Source organism: Homo sapiens, chromosome 9 (assembly GCF_000001405.40).
Source record: "Homo sapiens chromosome 9, GRCh38.p14 Primary Assembly".
NCBI classification, from domain to species: domain Eukaryota; kingdom Metazoa; phylum Chordata; class Mammalia; order Primates; family Hominidae; genus Homo; species Homo sapiens.
Genome location: NC_000009.12, coordinates 120,859,875 through 120,881,798, shown reverse-complemented (window position 1 = coordinate 120,881,798; position 21,924 = coordinate 120,859,875). Strand labels below are relative to the sequence as shown.

The following is a 21,924-nucleotide window of genomic DNA, read 5'->3' as shown; positions in this document are numbered from 1 at the left end:
CAGAGCAAGACTTCATCTCAAATAAACAAACAAACAAATAAGAAGGGTGATCAGTCCCATGCATGAGGGGACACTGTGCACTGTAACCACCCTGGACACCTAACAAGCAATGCTATCATCAAAACCTCCTCTGCTGCAATCTCCTCATAGCTTCCTGCCCCTCCCACCTTTAAAATCACCAAATATCTCAAACATGGAAAAGTTTTAGACTTGAGAAGGAGAAGGATCAGAGAGAACAACTATGGATCAACCACCCAGCTCTGTTACATCTTGACACTTGGTCATACTTGCCTCAGATTTTAATTTTTTTTTCTAAGAAATAAAACATACAGATAGAATTAAACCCCCTGTGGGCCAGGCACGGTGACTCACGCCTGTAATCCCAGCACTTTGGGAGGCAGAAGTGGGCGGATCACGAGGTCAGGAGATCAAGACCATCTTGGCTAACACGGTGAAAGCCCGTCTCTACTAAAAATATAAAAAATCAGCGGGGCGTGGTGGTGGGTGCCTGTAGTCCCAGCTACTCGGGAGGCTGAGGCAGGAGAAGGGCGTGAACCCGGGAGGCGGAGGTTGCAGTGAGCCGAGATCGCGCCACTGCACTCCAGCCTGGGCAACAGAGCGAGACTCTCTCAAAAAAAAAAAAAAAAAACAAACCCCCGATGTGCTTCCTTCTGATCTCATTCCTGTCCCTCCCTTCCCAAAGGTTACCCTATTCTAAATCTAGGGTCTTTGATTTCCCATGCATGTTTCAATACTTTTACTAGCTGACTGTAGCCCCAAAATGTCTACATAGCTTATTTTGTATTTCTTTGGGTTTTTTGTTGTTTGTTTGTTTGTTTTTGAGAAAGTCTCTCTCTGTCACCCAGGCTGGAGTGCAGTGGCACAATCATGGCTTACTGTGGCCTCAAACTCCTGGGCTCAATCAATCTTCCCACCTCAGTCTCCCAAGTAGCTGGGACTACAGGTGCATGCCATCATGCCCAGCTAATTTTTGTATTTTTAGTAGAGATAGGGTTTCGCCATGTTGCCCAGGCTGGTCTTGAACTCCTGGGCTCAAGCGATCTTCCCACCATAGCCTCCCAAAGCGCTGGAATACAGACTTGAGCCACGGGCCCAGCTGAATGCGTTAAGAAACATTTTTTATCATTTGTGTCACACTGTACCTATGCTACAACTTGATGTTAGTTTTTTTCCTAGGGTGTAACTATGTTGAGGCTGCAGACTTAGTTTATTTTTACTCCCAGTATATTATTCCATTGTATGACTACATCACAATTAATCTATCTGGTCTGCTGTTTGTTTGTTGAGACGGAGTCTCGCTCAGTCACTCAGGCTGGAGTGCAGTGGCACGATTTCGCTCAATGCAACCTCCACCTCCCAGGTTCAAACAATTCTCCTGTCTCAGCCTCCCAAGTAGCTGGGACTACAGGCACACGCCACCATGCCCGGCTAATTTTTGTATTTTTAGTAGAGACGGGATTTCACCATATTGATCAGGCTGGTCTCAAACTCCTGACCTCAAGTGATCCACCTGCCTTGGCCTCCCAAAGTGCTGGGATTACAGGCATGAGCCACAGTGCCTGGCCTATCTGGACTGCTGTTCATGGATAATTCATTAATTTCTAAATTTTCACAATTATGCGCTGAATGACGAGTGGAGTCATTGAATTGTAGCTATGAGTATCTTCCACTTTCTTACAAGTTGCCAAACTGTTCTCCAAAATCGTTTTACCAGTTCATATCTCCATAGGTATTTGAGGGTCCCAACTGTGCGACATCCTCACCCCCCACCCCCCTATATTGACAGACTCGACTCCGTGCCCATCTGGTGGATGTGTAATGGTGTATCACAGTTCTCTTCATTTGCGTCTCTCACGTGGCCAATAAGGTTGAGCACCTTTTCACATTTTAGGCTATTTTAGCCATTTAGGTTTCCTCTTTTGTGAGTTGCCTGTTGATATCCTTAATCCATATTTAAAAAATTGGATTGTTGGTCAGCCCATTAAACTCCCTCCACCTGGCACACCCACCTCCCTATTTCCACAACCTAACTGATTGCTACTTTTTCCGGGAAACTTGTTCTCTTTCCTCAATTCGAATTTAGAGTTGCCTCTAAATAATCACTGGTGACACCGTACCTTTCTTGTGGCATTTATAATTTCCTGTTCTGTAGTGTTTTAACTTCTTATTTTGCATATCAAACTTTTTAGTTTACAAAAGCACCTGCTCCTTCATTGTCTTATTTGAACATTTATGCAACAGCCCCACGAGATGGGTAGTATTATTACCCTCTTTTCAACCGATAAAGAAACATGGTGTAGGAGGGTCTAGCTAACCCAAGACCCCGCCCTGGCTCAGAGGCAGAGCTGGACTTGAAGCCAGGACAATTCAATTCCACGTGCAGCTCACAGCACAATCCCCTCTTATTTATCTATGCATCAACACCGCCTCCTCCACGAGGTTGCCAGTTCCTTGTCTCTCATCCACCTGTGTGTCTCCCATCCACCTGTGTGTCTCACATCCCCCCGCTCTAGTCCCACACAGTGGGGCAATCAAGATTCTGAATACAGAATTTCTTAACAAAGTATTAATACAATGATCACTTACTGCACACCTACTGGGCACCAGGGGCTTTGCATACATTAACTCTAACCTTCCCAATAACTCTATTTAGGTGAGGACACGGAGGCTTAAGACTTAAAGTCTCTGGAGCAAGAATTGTTTAAAAAAAAAAGAAAGAAAGAAGTGACACACTCAGGCTCCCATGGCCAGTAATGGGTGGAGCTGGCCTGTAGCCTCAGAGGTGAGCACTTCGCTCTATCATCTCTGTCCCCCAGCATCCTGAAGGCAGACCCAGCCAGCTTAGAAGCTAGTGGGAGTGTTCTGCTCCCATCATCAGCCCTACCCGCGTTGGACACACCTTCTCTTGGCAGAACATGGTTAAGTAGCACAATCCTAGGGCCCCTTTGGGACTTGAAAATGTGCTCTCCAGGATTGGGAGATTTTGTGCCATGGGGCTGCTCCCAGGCTTTCCTTCCAGGTTCAGGCAGGTACTCAGCAGTGCTAGGTTCTGCTGAGGCGCCAGGATCCAGAATGGGGCAGTGAGGCAGGTGAGAGCAGGGGGATCAAGGGGCAGAAGGAAGTGAGGAAGGAGGTGAAAGGACTCCTGGATCTCTGCTGAGAAGGTGAGGTGGGGGGCTGCACAGATCATGCTCCAAGGCCAGGAGGCAGAGGGCCCAGAGTGAGCAACTGACAGTGAACAGGGAAGGCTCTGGGGGAAGGTGCTGTCCACTGGCCACACCCATGAAAGCACATATCCCTGTCTGGTGGGGGTGTCTGCAGAGTGGGATGGTAGCCACAGAGGTGGGCGCTGTGGACTGAGGGCAAGGATGGGGGTGGGGTTATTGGTAAGTGTTCTTCCTCCCTTCCCCCAAGAGTGAGTCTGGGTGGGGCCATGTCTGCCTTTCCCCCACAGGGCAGGGTCCCTATGATTGGAGCTCTGCCCACTGACTCCATCTGCCATTCCTATGACTCTGTGCATGTTGTCTTTCATTGTGTGCCCTTTATTTACATGACATGTTGTGCGTGTGGTATATATTTGCGATTGTACCATGTATTTCTGTGCACTGTGTCTCTACGCAATTTGTTGTTTGGGGCTATTTCGGCCATGTAGGTTTCCTCTTTTGTGAATTGCCTTTTGATATCCTTAACCCGTATTTTAAAAATTGCATTGTTAGCCCACTGAATTCCCTCCACCTGGCACACCCACTAACCTATTTCCACAACCTATCTGAATGCCACTTTTTCAGGAAAACTTGTGTCTCTTGCCCGTCTGTGTTGTGACTTTATGTGTTATGTCCGTCTACCTTACATGCATGTTCTGTTGTGTGTCTCTGTTGTGTACAGTGTGTTCCCCCTTGTGTATCTATGCCTATGGCTGGTGTGTACAGTACTTCTCTTTGTGGTGTGTTTGTGTCCTGTACATGCTGTGGTGTGTTCTGACCTGTGTCGGAACAACATGCGTTGTGCACTGTGTGTTGTGTATCTACATTATACTTGTGCTGTGTCTCTGTGCCGAACGCCTGTGCTGTTAGTGCAAGGTGTTGTGTGGCCTGTTTGGGCGTCCTGGGTCTGTGTCTGCGCCAAGGGTCCGCGCCGCCCTGCTGTGTGTCTGTGCCAGGGTCCGCCGGTGCCTGCGCGCAGAGCTGTGTTTCCTCAACAAGTGTGCGAGCGGTCGTGTGCGCCATGAGCGCTGCCTGGCGTCTCCGTGTGCGCCGCGGTGTGGCCGCTCCTCGGCGGGGGGCCCGGGTCCTGGCTAGTGGCCGCGGAGGATGCGCGCCCGCGGGGCGGGCGGGGGCGGGCGGGGGCTGGCGGCGCTGCGGAGCCCGGCGGCCGCGGGCTCCAATGGCGAGGCCGGCGCGGCCCCCGCTAATTACATAAGCGGGACGTCAATAATTCGCGGGAAAACGCGAAAAAGATGGCGCCCCGCGCCCGGGGGGCCCCTTCCTGAGCGCCCCGGCCCCTCCCTCCGCCGCCTCCCCCTCCTCCCCGCGGCGCCCCCGCCCCGCCCCGCCCCCGCCGAGACCCCGACCCCGGCCCCACGGGCGGACACTCGGCCGGGCAGCCGCGGGCCGAGCGCAGCCGCCTCCGCCACCGATGCGCCTGGTGGCCAGACTCCAAGTGGGACCGGCGGACACGCAGCCTCGCGGTGAGTTCTGCGCTGTTGGGCGGACTCCCCGCCACGCTCTCCCCTCCCGGCCCTCATCCCTCTCTTTTCGAAATCTCCCTGAACTTTGGCGGCCCGAACGCCTCCGGGGGGTGAGACTCCTGCGGAGCGGGGCTCTCGGGGGTGGGGACCGGGGGTGCAGGTTACCTGCGGGGCAGAGGGGCCCCACCCGGGTTCCCGAGCCCCGGGGGGCATGGGTGACAGGTCGTTCTTCCTCGCCCCCGATCTTTAATTTTCCTATCGGGGTGGGGGAAGGACAGACGGGCGTTTGGCATTTCGCTCACGTCCGAAGTCAGGCTGCGGCAGGGTTGGGATGGGGGAGGCTTGGCGTCCGAGCGACTGAGGAGAGGAGCGCTGAACCCGAAGGGGGTGCTTCTGCAAGCTTTTTCCCCCCTCCTGAACATCCTTTTTAAAAAGCCAACGGCCGCCCTGGGAGAGGCCCCGGCGCATGAATCATCCTCGCTTCCTGCCCCCGCCCGGCCCCGCGCTCCCGGTGCCGCGGATTTGAACTGGACGCAGACGGGAACCCGCAAACAGGCATTTCTTTGCAAATGGGTTTGAATCAGCCAATCACAGCCCGCGGGGGCCCGCTCCGGGAGGACGGAGGCGGGGGCTGGGGGGGCGCCACCCGGGGGCCCCCGCCCGGCCAGGGTGGAGGCGGGTGCGGCGACCCGGCCGGCTCCTAGAGGCGCAGCGGGAGAGGAAGTGTCAGTTTGTGAACCTGCAGCGGCCCCGGCCTGGCCCCTGGCCGGGCGGGCGGGGACCTCGCAGCGCCGGGCGAGCCAGGTGGCAGGGAGAGGACAGGGATTCAGACCGCATCCCCTGCCCGGGAGCCTGTGCGCTCTGCGCTGGAGAAAAAGGAGATGGGAGTGGGGGTGGAGAAGGTCGTGGCCACGCCACCATCTGGGGAGCCGAGACCCCTGCAGTGCCTGGCTCGCCCCAGGGCCCCGCACATACTTAGCTTCACACACTCCCTGGCACAATGCCGTAGACATCATCCTGCCCAGTCTCACAGGAGTACACACACGCACCACACAGAAACAGGCACTGGACTCTCTCCCTGTGAACAGATAGTCACAACACCAGGTGCCCAGCGCCATGGCCACAAGGAGGAGACCCGAGTAGGCCCGCGGGGAAAGAGAGAGGCTGTGTGTGGCTGTAGTGGAGAGCATGTGGAGGGACTTGGAGCCAGGTGAGCCCAGCAGAAAGGAGGGGGCGTTAGGGACGGCTTTGAGCACCAGTGAGGGCAGTGGGGAGCCCCAGAAAGTTTCTGGAAGGAAATTGGTGGCCCTGCGGAAGAGTCTGGTGGAGAGGCAGGAATGCAGGAACGGCCTGTTTAGCACTGGGTGCTGGTAGTACCGTTCCCCACCCTAGGTGCCTAGTGGAGGTAAGCACAAGGCCCAGGAAACTGTTATTGGGTGAATGAATGAATGAATGAATGGCCCAAGCAAAAGATGAGGCCTGAACTGAGACCAGGGCAGGAGGATGGAAGCTAGAGCTGGAAAGCCAGAAATCATGGCACTTAAAATGGGCCGGCTGTGGCAACTAATTGCTTGGAGGAGTTTGAGATGCATGAAGGCAGTACCACAGGCAGGGAGAGAGAAATCGATGGGTGAACTGCACGTTGAATAGGATGGTGAGAGACAGGCGTGGAGAGGCTGGCATGGGGATGGATGACTTCACTGCTTGGAGCAAATGTGTATCTGGGTGAAAGCATAAGTGGGTTTAAATGTCCCAGAATTGGTTTCCATTAAATCATCTCATAATTGAGAACAGAAGGGGGGATTACAAAAGACAGATGACCCAGTCTACACTAGCTACAAGCCACCCAGTTTTCCTTTCTAGGTGAATTTTCTCTGGACAGATCTCAGGTTAGGGATGGTTGCAGGGGTTGGGGGTAAAAACAAAACCCAACTGCTTGCCTGGAGAAGATCCTCCATCCAGAGCACATGGACTGTGTTTGCTTAAGGAATAAAACCTCAGCCTCCTGAGACAGGGAGTGGTTCAGGCCCGCTGGGTAGGGGACTTTGTTCTGTGTGGGTTGAGAGATCCATTCTCTTTAAAAGGTAGTGTGGTATGGGCCATGGCTCTGCCTTTGGCCCATCAGCCTCTTCTCCTTGCCACACCTGTTTCCCTATCTGTAAGATGTGAATAATAATAATGTCTCCCTCATAGGATGGTCACGAGGAATCAGTGAGATAATAACCAAGTCTGGCTTATAGCACAGGGTACAGAAATGGTGGTTTCCTTCCTTCCCCTGATGGGCTTTCTGAAGCAGGGAAGCAAGAAGCAAAAACCCTGTTCTTTCTCTCCCAGTGTCAGGGGAAGCTGATGGAGAATCGAGCTCTGGATCCAGGGACTCGGGACTCCTATGGTGCCACCAGCCACCTCCCCAACAAGGGGGCCCTGGCGAAGGTCAAGAACAACTTCAAAGACTTGATGTCCAAACTGACGGAGGGCCAGTATGTGCTGTGCCGGTGGACAGATGGCCTGTACTACCTCGGGAAGATCAAGAGGGTAAACCCATCCTCTCTGGCCCCTGTTCTCAGACTCAGAATCTCTCTGCTCATGTTCCAGCCTGGCTGTCAGACCAGGGGGCAGGGGGATTGCTGGAGAATTCCCTTCTTGTCCCTCATGCCCAAAGCTGGTGGTGGGAGGGGCCAGAGCCTGGTCTTGCAGGCACCATCCCTAGGGTCAACATCATCCAACTAGTTCTTTAGAAAAGTGCTCTGAGAGCCTACAAAACAAAAAAGTCAGGTTTGAGAGGATCACAGAGGAGCATCTGACTTGTGCTTCTGTCCTCAACATTCTGACCAAGTTGCCATCCATCGGTCCCTGGCTGTACGACTCCAGGTGACTAGGAGTACACCCTGTCCAGGAACTGCCATCCTTCTTCCCCTTCTAGCCCTGCTTTCTGGAACATACGGAGACAAAAATGGGGGAGGAAGACTATGTTCCAGGTTGGCTTTTCCCCAGCCCTTTCTCACTTGCTCCTTCCTATCTGTACCCCAGGTCAGCAGCTCTAAGCAAAGCTGCCTCGTGACTTTCGAAGATAATTCCAAATACTGGGTCCTATGGAAGGACATACAGCATGGTGAGTTTTCCTAACATTTCGGGTAGCCCCCAACCTCCCCAGGTCTTCTCTCCTCTGCTGCCTTCATTTCTTCCTTCTGTCCTTCCATCTCTTACTCCTGGCATCTGCCCTTGACCATGAACCCCAAGCCCACCTGTGATGATGATCAAATCTGGTTGTATATTGACTTAGGAAGGTACTTAGGACATGAGTCATCCCCTTGAGAATTCATACCCCAGGAGGGAGGATGGGCAGGTGGGGAAGGTAGCTTAGGGAGGTGCTGGGAGGGCCAGGACTGGGCCTCAGGCCTGCGTTTGCTTCCTGGCTGCACTACAGCTGCAGCTGCTCAAAGCTCTGCGTCAGTCTGGGCTAGAAAAGGGGGCGTGCCCAGGTATTCAGAATTGTCAGCTCTAGATGCAAGCACAGTGTCCCTGATTTAACATATGAATAAAACTAATGGAAGCAGCCTTCTCCACGGGGCAAGGAGTTGGGAGGAATGGGAGAAAAACCAATAAAGCAGAGGTGAGCCAGGCAGGGTGAAGATGGACATGCCTGGATGGAGCTAGACCAGCTTTTAGGGCTGAAATGAATCTGGGTTGGGTATCATCCCTGCCTTCAGAAAGCTGACATCTCTCCCTTGCAGAGATGGCAAGTCAGGGCCATCTTTGCCACCATTCTCCCTTCCCATACACACAACAGACATCAGTAGCCATTGACAACACATGTACTTTCAACTTGGAGCCCCAAGCAGCTACTGCCTGTCAATCAGAGTTGGCATAAGAGGAGAAACCTGTTTGCCATTTATACTCTAACAGGAGAAGAGACATGGCCCCTAGCAGGGTAAGAAGCAGATTTTAGGGTCAGGTAGACCTTGGACCAAGTTCCAGCTTTGCCACTTACTAGCTGCATTTGCAGGAGCAAGTAATATGACCTGAGTTTTAGTTTCTTCATGTGAGAGGTGATAGTGAAAGTACTGGCTTCATAGGGTGGTTGGGAGGCTTAGGTAAGCTAATCCATGTAAAATGCTTAGCTCAGTACTATTGGTTTTAGAGAAGCTGTTACTCAAGAATTTGTTACCAGCCAGGCGCAGTGGCTCATACCTGTAATCCCAGCACTTTGGGAGGCCAAGGTGGGTGAATCGCCTGACGTCAGGAGTTTGAGACTGGCCTGACCAACACAGTAAAACCCTGTCTCTACTAAAAATACAGCTACCCGGGAGGCTGAGGCAGGAGGTTGCAGTGAGCTGAGATCACACCACTGCACTCCAGCCTGGGCAACAGAGCGAGACTCTGTCTCAAAAAAAAAAAAAAGAAAAGAAAAAGAAAAAAAAAGAATTTGTTACAATAAGAGATGATTCCAAGAAGCCTGCCAAGAAGAGGCTGCAGAACTCAGCCAGTTAGTAAAGCTTTCGAATTGCCCCCTTCTCCAAGAAATTGTGGCCAGTGCAGACCGATTCCTCTCCAACCCCTGAAATAGTATTATATAAATATCCAAAGCAATGAGGATCTCCTCTCCTGGTTTACCCCCTTATTGAAAGCATAAGGAGCCAGATGGAGAAGACCATGCACCTTAGCTGACCTCCTGTGGAGGCCCACCACATACCAGGCTCCTTGGAGGTACCCACAGTGATCAGCTGAAGAGTGGCTTGTCTCCTAGCCAGAACTGCCCCTTCCGGGCAGAATGGTGACCCTCTAGCATCTCCTGAGATGAGAGCATAAGGCTGAGCACCACTGTAGTTATTGATCCATTGCTTCATTAACCCAGTGAGGACTTACTGAGATGCACTGTGGGCACCACCTTCCTGGGAGCATGTTCAAGAATAGGAGGCAACGTTCCTGCCTGGCCATATATTCAACAAACGTCTTGGAACACCTGTTACATGCCACACTCTATGAGGTCCTGGGGATACAGAGATGAAGAGGTACCATTTCTTTTTTTTTTTTTTTTTTTTTTTTTTTTTTTGAGACAGAGTCTTGCTCTGTCACCCAGGCTGGAGTGCAGTGGCTTGATCTCGGCTCACAGCAACCTCTGCCTCCCAGGTTCAAGTGATTCTTCTGCCTCAGCCTCCTGAGTAGCTGGGACTACAGCCACGTGCCACCACGCCTAGCTAATTTTTGTATTTTTAGTAGAGAGGGGGTGTCACCCTATTGGGCAGGCTGGTCTCGAACTCGTGACCTTGTGATCCGCCCGCCTCGGCCTCCCAAAGTGCTGGGATTACAGGCGTGAGCCACTGCGCCCGGCCGAAGAGATCCCATTTCTACCCTTACAAAATTTTCAGCATGCTGGGGAAATAAGACAAACACGTATCAAAATGTGTTTAATGTATACATACAAACCTTTCACACATAAAAACATATTTATTCTTCAACCAAAATAAAATGCAAAGAAAAAAAGAGATGGAGAGGGGACCTGTAGACTAAAAGCAATTTTAAAAACATCAGCCAGTCACCATGTATGGACTTTACTTGGGGACTTTGATTCAAAAGAACAGACTTAAAATTGTTAAGGTATTTGTACTTAAGAAACAATTGGAAATGAGAACATTAACTGAATTTGTTAATGATATTAAGCAATTATGTTAACTTATAGGTGCAGTAGAGGTGTTTTAATTATGTTTTTTAAAAAGAGTCTTGATCTTTCACAAATACATACTGAAATATTTATGGAAAAACTATTGGGTATCTGGGACTCAATTTAAAATAATTACAGGAAGGAGAAGTAGGTGGGAATATAGTAGAAACGAGATTGGCCATGAGTTCATAAGTGATGAGAAGATGGAGTTTCATTATAACTTCTAGGCTGGGCACAGTGGCTCACGCGTGTAATCCCAGAACTTTGAGAGGCCAAGGCAGGTGGATCACTTGAGGTCAGGAGTTCGAGACCATCCTGGCCAACATGGCAAAAGCCTGTCTCTACTAAAAATGTAAAAAGTAGCTGGGTGTGGTGGCATGCACCTGCAATCTCAGCTACTCGGGAGGCTGAGGCAGGAGAATTGCTTGAACCAGGGAGGCGGAGGTTGCAGTGAGACAAGATCACACCACTGCACTCCAGCCTGGGTGACAGAGACTCCATCTCAACAAAACAAACAAACAAATTATATTATCCCATAATAAAGTTTTAAGAAAATAACAACCATTTAACAAAACAAGTTAAATAAGGCGGGAGAGGCAGCATGATGTGTCAAAAGAACAAAGGGTTTGATGTCAAACAGCCATGGGTTTAATCCCCCCCTCACCTACTTACTAGCTAAGCAAGGGACTTAACCTTTCAGAGCCTCAATTTCCCCATCTTTCGAATGGTAATGATGATAGGCATCTCAGAGTGGTTGGGGAGATTCAGTGAGGTGGCATGTGGGGCCCAGCGCTAGGCCTAGCAGACATTAGAGGCTGGGCATCTGGAATGTGAGTATAAAACTTCCATTCCTGTGAGCTGGACCCGACCCTCGAGGCCCTCTCTTTCAGCCGGTGTTCCAGGAGAGGAGCCCAAGTGCAACATCTGCCTAGGGAAGACATCAGGGCCGCTGAATGAGATCCTCATCTGCGGGAAGTGTGGCCTGGGTGAGTGGAGCGAGCAGGGCCCTGAGAAGGCCCCGACCTATAGGTCCCCACGCACTGGCCCCTGACGGGTACTGCTGCAGCCTGTTGGGGCCTCAGCTGGCTTCCTGTTTCTCTTGGCACTGCAGGGTGAAAGGGGGCCAGTTGCTGTAAGTGAGGGCTTGGGAAGAGATCCTGGGGAAAGCTGGGAGGGTATGATGGTGTATGTAATTTGGGGCCCAGCTAGATGGAGAGGATGGGTGGGAAAGATGGGGCTCAGGCACTGAAGTCAGACCTTCCTGTGTCCCCCCCAACCCCACAACTGGCCAATGCTGTCATTTAGTTCCCAGCCTGGACACTGACTTGGCCATCTTGGTGGGCACCAGCAGCCAGGCTCCCGGCAGCTGGCAGGCAGAGCTCCTAGGACTTCCCTCAGCCCTCCCAGCCCTGCCTCCTTTGGGCCAACTGGCCTTGGGCCACGATGTCCTTGTGGGCGCTCACCGCCCCCTCCTCTGCCGTAGGTTACCACCAGCAGTGCCACATCCCCATAGCGGGCAGTGCTGACCAGCCCCTGCTCACACCTTGGTTCTGCCGACGCTGCATCTTCGCACTGGCTGTGCGGGTGAGCCTTCCATCCTCCCCAGTCCCTGCCTCTCCTGCCTCCTCCAGTGGGGCAGACCAGAGACTCCCATCACAGAGTCTGAGCTCCAAGCAGAAGGGCCACACCTGGGCTTTGGAGACAGATAGCGCCTCTGCCACTGTCCTTGGCCAGGATTTGTAGACTCCCTGAGCCTCAGTTTCCTCAACTGTAAAGTGGAGATGGGTTTGGTGTCGGGAATAACGGGACCAATAAATGATGCTTTACTATTAAAAAAGAAAATCCATGTAAATACATGTTGGTAATTGTTGCCTTTATTGCGCTTATTACTCTTAATTCTGTTATCAACGGAGTTCCTTCTGGGATAGAGGGGATGGGTTTGGAATTAATGAGAAAAAGCTCCTTGCTTTTCTGACTATATTGGAATATCTGCGGGTCCCCCAAGCCCTGGCAGCACTTCCCTCAATAGACAGCCGCGTGCTGACTCGCGTGGTCCACCCGGACCTGGTGGTTGACTGGGGCCCTCGTCTCCCCCCAGAAAGGCGGCGCGCTGAAGAAGGGCGCCATCGCCAGGACGCTGCAGGCCGTGAAGATGGTGCTGTCCTACCAGCCCGAGGAGCTCGAGTGGGACTCGCCCCATCGCACCAACCAGCAGCAATGCTACTGCTACTGCGGCGGGCCCGGAGAGTAAGGCAGGGGGTCAGGGCCCCCCGGGCGGCAGGGCAGGTCTCCAAGAATCGCCAGCAGGGACCGCCCATAGGGAGCGAGCCTGGCGTGTCAGCCAAGGCGGGGACCTTGAGGGCGGGCCCAGTGTGTTGCGCTGTGGGGGCGGGGCCTCGAGGGGCGGGCCTGGAGTGTCAGCCGCGGGGGTGGGGCCTCGGGGGCGGGACTCGGGGAGGGGGGGGTCAGCCGCTGCGGAGGTGGGGCCTCGAGGGGTGGGCCCGGAAGATTGGACCTGAGGGCGGGGCCTCGGGGGGCGGGCCCGGAAGGTTAGACCTTGGGGCGAGGCCTCGGGAGGCGGGCCTGGCGGGTTGCGACCGCCCAAGCAGGGCCCCAGGGAGGTGAGGCAGGTCGAGAAGCACCCTGTGGAGGGGCGGGGTGGGGAGGAGGGAATAGTAAGGCCTCGGGAACAGGACCTGAGGAGGCGAGGCCTCAAGGGGCGGTCCCTGAAGGGAAGGGCTCGGGGTGGGGCCCGAGGGGGCGGGACCTCAAGGGGAGAACAGAAGGCCGGCTCCGCGTGGCATCTAGCACTGTGGAGCAGGGCTGGAGGGCAGAGGTGTTACCTTGGAGCTTTGTAGGAAACGAGGAAGTATTGAAGAGTGGTTAAGAGCCTGGGCCGGACACAGTGCGAATCCTCCCAGGACGTCCACGTCCTAGCTCTGCTCCTTACCAGCTGTGCAACCCCTTAGCCTCAGCTCTCTGAATAGTTTCCCCATCATGTGGTGATTATGAGCAGAGCATGAATTACGTAATTCACATAGAGGTTCTCATAGTGCCTGGCATTTGGTAAACAAAAAAAATGTGAGCTGTTACTGGTGGTAGTGGTGGTACTAATGCATGAAAGTCAAGATAACCTTTTCACAGTCAGAGTCAGTGGAACCGGCTGCTGGTGAGATATGAAGATCCTTTTCCCGCCTGGCGCGGTGGCACACGCCTGTAGTCCCAGCTTCGTAGGAGGCTGAGGTGGGAGGATCACTTGAGCTTGGGAGATGGAGGCTGCAGTGAGCTGTGATCATGCCACTGTACTCCAGCCTGGGCGACAAAGCAGGACGACCCTGTCTCCAAAAATAGAAAAGATTCTTTTCCCTGGAGATGTGCAATCAGGCAGGGGTAGGGGGCCGGGGGGCGGGGCATGCTATGTCGGGGCCACTGTGGAGGGAATTCTTGTCCTGGCTCTGCGGCAAGAGTCTTTGATTCTTCCTTGCCGACCTGGGCCTCTATGTAGCCATGGCAGTTGAGCTTGCTTCTTTGGGCTGAGTGCACGTGGCATTGTGGAAGGAACCACAGATGTAAGAGGGAGGGTCTCTGCCCTCAGGAAGTTCAGCCGTCAGGACCCCCTGAAGTCCTGAATCTCAGCCCCAAGCTCCAGCTGGGTAACTTGGGCAAAGCTTGAACTACTTCATCTCTCAAATGGGCTTAACCTTAACTTCAGGCCCATGAGCTTCCCCAAGTATTGTCAGATGGAGAAATGCTTATGGAAACCTTTCCTGCATTAATGCAGTGTTTCTCAACGCCTATGGGCAGAGTTGCACAGGATGCTTGTTAAAAATGCATCCCAGAGGCTTCCCCAAAGATTGAATAGGTCTGCAGTGGACCAAGGAATCTGCGTTTTAACCTGGAGCTCACCTGACAAGGTGTCAATGAAGCATTGAGCATTTTGCTCTTCATATTCCATGAATAGTTGTTGGATGACCATGATAGGCCAGATACAGTTGCAGGTGAGAAAAGCCAGATGTAGTCTTGCCCCCGTGCAGCTTACAGAAACCATTATTCTCCCGTGAAGTCTCCAAGGCAAACGTTTCCCTGTCAGCAGTGTTTGGGAAGCAGCAAGTCCAGAAATGGTGGCTTCATTGTGGCATGGCAAGGAGAGCACAGCCTCTGAAGTTAGGGAAACCAGAATTTGAATCACCATCCTCCACTTGCCTGTGAGCTAGGGCAAGCCATTTCACCTGTGACTTATCTGTAATATGGGGACAGTGTCCCATCTTTTACCAGGTGGTGAGGTGAAATGAGAGTATATGTCCAACTCTCAGGTCCTCCCTTGGCACAGCCTAAGTGCTCAGTAACTGAATTCTCTTCCCTTTCTGCCAGTGGAGGGCAAATTTAACTTGGGAAAGGTTGCCGAAGCTCATACCTGACTGGGGGTGTGGTCCTGGCTGACCTTGGCTCCTCTGTCTCTCCAGATGGTACCTGCGGATGCTGCAATGTTACCGGTGCAGGCAGTGGTTCCACGAGGCCTGCACCCAGTGCCTCAATGAGCCCATGATGTTTGGAGACCGGTAGGTGCTAATTTGGTCCAAGTGGGCCTTGGGCGTGGTGGGGAGAGGGCAGGGATGGCAGCAACAACTCCTGCAGGTTGACTGCCAGGCTCCAGACAAGAGGAGGTCTGTGACAATGTATGCCTACCTGTTTACTGGAGGCAGCTCAAGGTAGGGGATCCCCTAGCTATGCAGGGCCAGGAGGCAATAAAGAAGTATGCTGGGCCACATCCCTAGTTGCCATTGATTTCTGGAGTACCTTAGATAAATGCCTGCCTTCCCTATGCCCTAGTCTCTTAAGTGTCTGGGGAAGAAGGGATGACACAGTCCTTGCGCCAGCCCTGCCCAGGGTTGCTGTGGGAGTCACTGGGGAAATGGATGGCTTAATGTGGCTTCTAACCGACGGAGCAAAGCTAATGGAGTCCTTATGGATGTCAAACCTGATGTTATGCATCTTTTGGTTGGTGTCTCATGTCATTTGTGATTGCGTGTGTGGCTGTCTCAGAGGGGAAGAGGGTGACCATGGCAGCCCAGCCTAGCTCAGCTCACTCTCTGTGAACTCAGCCACGCTTCAGGGCAAGATTTGGGAAGGAGATTGAGGGCATGGGTTAGAAGGAATATGGGGTATCTCTTAGTCCCTGTCCTGCCCTGTCCTTGACCCCCAGTGGCCAGCAGTCCTAGGAGTGAGAAGATTATGGGAAGGTAGGTGGGGAATGAGGAGATCAAGGGGCTGGACTGGGGTGGGGGTGTCAGAGCCCCTCCCACCATAGGCCCCCGTCTCTACCCACCCACAGGTTTTACCTGTTCTTCTGCTCCGTGTGTAACCAGGGCCCAGAGTACATCGAGAGGCTGCCCCTGCGATGGTGAGAGGGTGGGGCTTAGTCCAACCACCGCTGCTCCTCCCAGCTTCTCCCCTCCCTCCTCCCTCCTGGAACAATTCCATTTCCAGCTACTGGGTCCCAACCCTGCCCCTGTCTCTCAGCCTGGACCCAGAAAGCTGTGACCCTGGCTGAGCAGGCTGCCACCTCACCTGGTCCCACCTCCTTGCCCCCTTGCCCAGGGTGGATGTGGTTCACCTGGCCCTCTATAATCTGGGGGTACAGAGCAAGAAGAAGTACTTTGACTTTGAGGAGATTCTGGCCTTTGTCAACCACCACTGGGAGCTCCTGCAGCTTGGCAAGGTATGTGGGGTTGTGGGATGTCAGTGGCAGGAGGCAGAGAGGTTTGCCCAGGGCCACGCAGTGCAGGACTAGGATGGAAGTCTCTGAACTCTCACCCTTGAGTTGCTGCATCCCTGAGTCCAGGCCTCTGATCTTGTGTCCTTTAAGGGCCTTCCTAATCCCAGATTTTGGCAGTGGGCAGGTTGGGGCCTCCCCAGTTCAGTGGAGGGGAGCTGAGGCCCTAGATCAAGTCTGGCTGGAACACAGCTCTCTGCTGAGTGTTTGACCCACTCCAGATTTCCTGGCTAGGTTGCAACATGGAGTGGGTCTGCCCACTGCTGATCCTATGCTAAATAGTGGGTCACCAAGGGCCTTGGAAGCCTCAGATCCACGGAGTGAAATTACAAACGGAGACTTTCGGAATGTCAGAGTTGCAGAGTGACTTGCCCGTGGTCAGCAGAGCTTTGAGGCTGAGCCAGAGCTGGAGCCAGGGCCTCCCTAATCACTCCCACGGGGGTGCTGTGTCTTCTTTTCCCTAATGACATCCTTAGAATCCTCTCCACCACATACAGAGTGAGGCATCTTCTCTATGGACTGCCCCAAATCTTTCTTTGATGAAAAGGAATTTAAAAAGAATAACCTTTATGCTTTGCAAAATATTTCATGTAATAACATCTTCATTTACAGTATTTGATAATTTTTTTAAAAAAATAGATATTATAAAACCTTAAAAGATACGTAGAGTTGGTTTTTAGTAACTTTTTTCTAATTTTTTTTAATTGTACATATTCGTGGTGGAAAATCTTTAAAGTACCAAAAAGTATAAGGAAGTATACTTTTTAAAAAATCCATATCACGCCACCCAGAAATCACTAGAACTAATGCATGGGTACATTTCCTTTCCGACTCTCTTCTATGTATATCTTTTTCTGTTTTATCGTTTAAATGATACAGTATATACAATTTTAAATAATCTTTTTTTTAGTATACATTATACTTTTCCATATTATTAGAATCTTCATAAAATTTTTTGTTTGTTTGTTTGTTTGAGACGGAGTCTCCCTCTGTCGCCCAGGCTGGAGTGCAGTGGCGCGGTCTCAGCTCACTGCAACCTCCTCCCACTGGGTTCAAGTGATTCTCCTGCCTCCGCCTCCCAAGTAGCTGGGATTATAGGCGCCCGCCAAATTTCATGGCTGCATTGGTTTCTACCATAGTTTACTTGTTTCCTTCCTGTTGGGCAGTTTCTTTCCCATTTGTCCACCATTAGAAACAATGCCACCATTTTTTTTTGTATGTAAAGTTTTGTTCCTATTTCGTGTTATATCTGCAGATATATAGATTCCATGATAGATTCCATGGAGTAGCATTACTGGGTCAAGGGTATGGACTTTTTAAAGCTCTCAATACAGTTAGGTCAGGAAGTATTCTCTCCATTTACAAATGGGAATGAACTTGGAGAGGTGAAAAGGCTTTTCTGAGATCCTGGAGTGAGTCAGTGGTCCTCACCTGAAGGACTCAGAAGCATCAGGAGATGGAAGGGAGGGAGTAGGGGCTTGGGCCTCCCCATGCGCCATATGCCTGGGTCTGATGTCCTGCTGGCCTGCTCTCCCACAGCTCACCAGCACCCCAGTGACAGATCGAGGACCACATCTCCTCAACGCTCTGAACAGTTATAAAAGCCGGTGCGTGCAGGGAGGGGAGGGAGTGTGGTGGGGCCCTCTACAGGTGAGATTCCTTCCTACCTCATAGCCTTTGCTCAGGCTATGCTCCCTGCCTCTCTGATACTCCCCTTCTCTCTGAATCATTTCCATTCTCCGAGATCCAGGGGGTACCCCACCTCCTTTGCACAGCCACTCCAACCACCCCAGCAGCCTGCCGTATTTTGGTACTGGGCTCAGCTCTGTAGGGGGGCTGCACCCCTGCTCTCTGAGGGCCCCTCCGGCTCTAGACATCTAGGCCTTGGGGGCCAGGCACTGAGGGATGGGTGCATCATCTCGGGTGGGCTACATCCTCGGGTGGAAGACATCCCTCAGCCCCTGTCTTCCCATCCAGGGTTCTCAGCACACACAGCTGGCCATGTCCCTCACTACACCACAGAGGCATGCCCAGCCTCCTGAACCTGGCACTCAAGGCCTTTTAAGACCAGGCTGTGCCCGCGTCCTCTGCCGCTGTCCCTTTGCTTTCTGTATTCTGGGTGCCAGCCATCCTGAGTCCTTGGTTTCCTACCTGGCACTTTTACTCATGCTCTGCCCTTTGTCTAGGATGTGCCTCAGTCTTTTTTACTCATTCGTTCCATCAACAAGTATTCATTGAGTTGCTGTTCTATGTCGGGCCTGTCTGGGTGCTGAGGTCATGGTGGGGAATAAAATAAGGTCCTCATCGCTGAAACTCTTCCAGACACCTCTGGGTAGAATTATCCACTCTCTCTTCCACATTCTCATGGTTTAGGGCCCAGACAAAGCTCTGCTCTTCAGTACAAGAGGCCACCTGCCCTCCCAATGGACAGTCCTCTATTGGGAGGGCAGGTGGCCTCTTGTACTAAAGAGGGTAGGGCTGTGTCTAAGTCACTTCTGCAGCCTCAGAGGAGCCCAGCCGGTGTTGCTTTCAGTCTCCTGGGGAAACCAGAGAACAGAATGAAGTAGATTCCAGTATCTTGACCATAGGAGTTCCACTGTAAGCTGGAGGAGGGCTTCCTGCAGGAGGTGGCCTTGGGGCTGGTTGAGGCAAACAAAAGGGAGAAGAGCAGCAAGAACCACACTCATGCAGGAGGAAGCACAGGGAGGAGGCACCAGCCGTGTTCTCAGCTGCTACCTGGAACCCCGCATCCCATGGGCTTTGAGGAAGTCAGCATCTGCAGAGACCATCCGGATTTTAGCTCTGGGTCCAAGGAGGCAGAGAGGCTTGTGTCATGCTTGACCCCACTCCCCAGGAGGATGGACTGACAGACTCCAGAGCTTCTTCCTCCCACTGCCCACCCCCAGGTTCCTCTGCGGCAAGGAGATCAAGAAGAAGAAGTGCATCTTCCGCCTGCGCATCCGCGTCCCACCCAACCCGCCAGGGAAGCTGCTGCCTGACAAAGGACTGCTGCCAAATGAGAACAGCGCCTCCTCTGAGCTGCGTAAGAGAGGAAAGAGCAAGCCTGGGTCAGTGCTCGGGGACCCAGGGGCCAGGGCTGCCGCCAAACTCGGTTTCTCTGCTTCCAAGCAAGCAAGGAGGACCTGCACCCAGCCAGTCCCAGCTGTAGGACCCTGAGAGGGCTAGATAGTGGCTGAGCGGGATCCCAGATCCCAGATCCCCAACTCCTTTCACCACCACAGCCCCCTTATTACCTCGCAAGGAGGAAAAGCCAGATCTGAGGACCCAGCCTTGCTGGATTAGGACTTGGGCAAGGAGGTGAAGGGGAAGGCAGGGTGTGTGAGGGGTCCCTCTCTCTCCTGGCTCAGCTGAGCCCCCTCATCCTGGCACTGGGGGGCAGGGCATCTGGATGCATGTGCCTGGGGAGGCACCTTTTCTTTTTCTGCCCACTATACCTTCTCCACACCTTCCCACCCCTACTGCTCCTGAGGACTCTCCCTCCTCCCCAGGCCTCCCTGTGAAGGTGCAGCTGTGTTCAGAGCCTGTCTCCCCAACTGCTGTGACCCCCGCCCCTGCGGCGCCTCCCTCTGGGCCACCCTAGGGCCCTCAGGCTCTGACGGGGCCACCTTCTCCCTCTTCTGTCTCCACAGTTTGTTGCCTCACGAATTCCAGCAGCAGAAAAGGCGAGTTTATAGAAGAAAAAGATCAAAGTTTTTGCTGGAAGATGCTATTCCCAGTGTTAGTTCCTTGTTTTCTTACTCTCCATTTTCATACGCAGGGTCAGCACATATTAGGGCTTCCTGTGCCGAAAACTAAGTCCCCCAGGCCCAGAGGACTCTCTCATGTCCCTTAAAGAAGCCAGTCCCTATTACAGCTAAGCCAGGCACTCTAAGACCCCTGCTTTATCTCCCCCCAAGTTCTCCCAGGAATCCAAAGTTGGGGGGCAAAGGCAGGTAATATTCTTGTCCCCACTGTCCAGGTAGGGACACTGAGGGAAGGGTGGGGCAGTGACTTTCCTGAGGCCACACATCAAAGTGGCAGAGCCCAGCCTGGAACCAGGGTTCCAGAGCACTTTCTTTCCTCCTTCAGTAACCCCACCACCTCCCTGAAGCCCTCCCTGTGGGCAGTAGTATTAGCAATGCCTCATGTCCCAGCACTTTGCGGTTTAGAAGCATTATTTAATTTTACTGCACTTCCTGACATCTGTAAGAGTGAAGCAAGGCAGGGGTTATTGTCCCCATTTTGCAGTTGAAGTAACTGAGGTCCAGAGACGTGAAGGTCGTACAGTCAGCTAGAGACAAAGGCAGGGCTAGAACTGGGATGACTTTGGCTCCCTGGTCAGGACTTGGAATAAAGGTGATGGTCTTACCCTAGGGAGGGCCCAGCCCTCAGCGGCCCTGGCTGGATAGGAGGCAGCCTGTGTGGGAGGTGGATTTGATACTCGCTGTCTGACCCTTCCTCTCTCCTTCCTGTGTCCACAGAGTGACTTCACCTCAGCCTGGAGCACCAACCACCACCTGGCTAGCATATTTGACTTCACGCTGGATGAAATTCAAAGTTTAAAAAGGTATCAGTGAGGGACCTAGCACAGAGGTCTGCTCTGGAGACAGGGAGGGAACCAAGCAGAAAGCCAAGCCCTCAGTTAAAAGGATCCCTGCTGTGCAGGTCTGTCTGAAGGGGCTTTTTGCAGTAGAGCTTTCAGCATAACATCCCTGTTCCCAGAGCACCACAGCCCTCCCCTCTTCTCCAGCCCTCCCCACCTTGCCCCATGGTTATCCACACTCACCATGCTGTTTGATGCTTGCTCATCTTTGCTCGTATTGCTCCCTCTGCCTGAGATACCCTTTGCCTTGCCCTAGCCCATCTGAAAACTCAGGACCCTGCTTCTTCCAGGAAGGCTTTACTAACCCTCCCCAGGCTGTGCTGGACGCCCTCCTTTGTAGTTCCATAGCACCCCATGCTTAAGTATGTCCAAGGGAGGAACTGCATCTTCCATCATTTTATTTTCCAAATTATTAAAGGTCATTTAGTATTTTCCTGAGGACACAGAGGAGGGCTTTAGAGTCAGACCTGAACTCCAGACCCTGCTTATCAGTACTAGCTATGTAGTTTTACCTAAATCCCTTAACCTCTCTGAACCTCCTCAGCTCTTTTCCTCAAACAAGATAATGCAAATGAAAGCACTTTTGACCTGTGAAGTGTTGCACAGGTGCCTTGGATCACGCTCGAGTTATTGACACCAGTGCTTACGTCACCGCCAGGGGAGGGTGCTCCAGGAGGTTTTTTTGACTTCTTGGACTTTGAAGGGTGGCTGGGTAGGAAACAGACAGGTGTGGTGGTGGGAAGCTCAGCTGTGGGAAGACGGGCCTCCACTGGGATGAAGGATGCATGTTAGGGGAACCTGCGGGCCAGGTTGGCAGGAACTTGCTGGGCCGGGCCACCAGCAGGCTCACGGTCTTGCCCCTCTCAGTGCCAGCTCAGGCCAGACCTTCTTCTCAGATGTCGACTCCACCGACGCTGCCAGCACCTCTGGCTCTGCCTCCACCAGCCTCTCCTATGACTCCAGGTGAGCTTCCTAGAGGTCTGGCCTTCACATTTTGCAAGGACCATCATTCCTCTCAGCCCCTCCACCTCCCACTTCTGTAATGTGTGGCTCATTCTATGTGTCTCAGTCTCTGGCGGGGAGTACCTGGCCTTCTGCAATTGTGAGTCTGGCTCTCGGACCCTCTGGTTCTGAGTCACGGGGCTTTAGATGGGACCTAAGTATAGGCATTCAGCCTC

At 52.7% G+C, this 21,924-nt stretch overlaps 1 protein-coding gene across 14 annotated transcripts in view, besides 11 other annotated features; it reads left to right on the top strand.

Moving 5' to 3' along the window:
* PHF19 (PHD finger protein 19) overlaps window positions 1–21,924 on the top strand; it is a 48,478-nt gene that overhangs the window by 22,330 nt on the left and 4,224 nt on the right. For 2 of the 14 annotated variants that reach the window (XM_017014612.3, NM_001286840.1), the window contains exons 2-14: window positions 7,043–7,243; window positions 7,739–7,820; window positions 11,261–11,356; window positions 11,854–11,954; window positions 12,469–12,617; window positions 14,834–14,929; window positions 15,703–15,771; window positions 15,969–16,089; window positions 17,683–17,750; window positions 19,050–19,211; window positions 19,794–19,881; window positions 20,625–20,710; window positions 21,614–21,709. In XM_017014612.3, the coding sequence (XP_016870101.1) occupies window positions 7,058–7,243; window positions 7,739–7,820; window positions 11,261–11,356; window positions 11,854–11,954; window positions 12,469–12,617; window positions 14,834–14,929; window positions 15,703–15,771; window positions 15,969–16,089; window positions 17,683–17,750; window positions 19,050–19,211; window positions 19,794–19,881; window positions 20,625–20,710; window positions 21,614–21,709 (1,400 nt within the window). In that variant the 5' untranslated portion in view covers window positions 7,043–7,057. Of the gene's footprint in view, window positions 1–4,610; window positions 4,819–5,436; window positions 5,919–7,042; window positions 7,244–7,738; window positions 7,821–9,563; window positions 9,721–11,260; window positions 11,357–11,853; window positions 12,225–12,468; window positions 12,618–12,887; window positions 12,992–14,833; window positions 14,930–15,702; window positions 15,772–15,968; window positions 16,090–17,682; window positions 17,751–19,049; window positions 19,212–19,793; window positions 19,882–20,624; window positions 20,712–21,613; window positions 21,713–21,924 lie in introns of those variants that run through there. The other 12 variants (NM_015651.3, XM_005251906.4, XM_011518509.4 and 9 more) reach the window with 12 other exon arrangements.
* Window positions 3,812–3,861: an enhancer, noted in NCBI's record as "active region_28900". NCBI's record gives its function as "activates an Ori minimal core promoter by ATAC-STARR-seq in GM12878 lymphoblastoid cells {active_cell/tissue: GM12878}" and the evidence as "EXISTENCE:reporter gene assay evidence [ECO:0000049][PMID:35858748]".
* Window positions 4,122–4,171: an enhancer, noted in NCBI's record as "active region_28899". NCBI's record gives its function as "activates an Ori minimal core promoter by ATAC-STARR-seq in GM12878 lymphoblastoid cells {active_cell/tissue: GM12878}" and the evidence as "EXISTENCE:reporter gene assay evidence [ECO:0000049][PMID:35858748]".
* Window positions 4,292–4,571: a silencer, noted in NCBI's record as "silent region_20227". NCBI's record gives its function as "represses an Ori minimal core promoter by ATAC-STARR-seq in GM12878 lymphoblastoid cells {active_cell/tissue: GM12878}" and the evidence as "EXISTENCE:reporter gene assay evidence [ECO:0000049][PMID:35858748]".
* Window positions 4,812–4,861: a silencer, noted in NCBI's record as "silent region_20226". NCBI's record gives its function as "represses an Ori minimal core promoter by ATAC-STARR-seq in GM12878 lymphoblastoid cells {active_cell/tissue: GM12878}" and the evidence as "EXISTENCE:reporter gene assay evidence [ECO:0000049][PMID:35858748]".
* Window positions 5,142–5,591: a silencer, noted in NCBI's record as "silent region_20225". NCBI's record gives its function as "represses an Ori minimal core promoter by ATAC-STARR-seq in GM12878 lymphoblastoid cells {active_cell/tissue: GM12878}" and the evidence as "EXISTENCE:reporter gene assay evidence [ECO:0000049][PMID:35858748]".
* Window positions 5,142–5,774: a biological region, named in NCBI's record as "H3K27ac-H3K4me1 hESC enhancer GRCh37_chr9:123638303-123638894".
* Window positions 5,183–5,774: an enhancer, noted in NCBI's record as "H3K27ac-H3K4me1 hESC enhancer chr9:123638303-123638894 (GRCh37/hg19 assembly coordinates)". NCBI's record gives its function as "activates a minimal SCP1, AML or CMV promoter by ChIP-STARR-seq in naive H9 embryonic stem cells {active_cell/tissue: H9 hESC(naive)}" and the evidence as "EXISTENCE:reporter gene assay evidence [ECO:0000049][PMID:30033119]".
* Window positions 7,585–8,210: an enhancer, noted in NCBI's record as "OCT4-NANOG-H3K27ac-H3K4me1 hESC enhancer chr9:123635867-123636492 (GRCh37/hg19 assembly coordinates)". NCBI's record gives its function as "activates a minimal SCP1, AML or CMV promoter by ChIP-STARR-seq in primed H9 embryonic stem cells {active_cell/tissue: H9 hESC(primed)}" and the evidence as "EXISTENCE:reporter gene assay evidence [ECO:0000049][PMID:30033119]".
* Window positions 8,211–8,834: an enhancer, noted in NCBI's record as "OCT4-NANOG-H3K27ac hESC enhancer chr9:123635243-123635866 (GRCh37/hg19 assembly coordinates)". NCBI's record gives its function as "activates a minimal SCP1, AML or CMV promoter by ChIP-STARR-seq in primed H9 embryonic stem cells {active_cell/tissue: H9 hESC(primed)}" and the evidence as "EXISTENCE:reporter gene assay evidence [ECO:0000049][PMID:30033119]".
* Window positions 12,656–13,145: a silencer, noted in NCBI's record as "silent region_20224". NCBI's record gives its function as "represses an Ori minimal core promoter by ATAC-STARR-seq in GM12878 lymphoblastoid cells {active_cell/tissue: GM12878}" and the evidence as "EXISTENCE:reporter gene assay evidence [ECO:0000049][PMID:35858748]".
* Window positions 13,266–13,335: an enhancer, noted in NCBI's record as "active region_28898". NCBI's record gives its function as "activates an Ori minimal core promoter by ATAC-STARR-seq in GM12878 lymphoblastoid cells {active_cell/tissue: GM12878}" and the evidence as "EXISTENCE:reporter gene assay evidence [ECO:0000049][PMID:35858748]".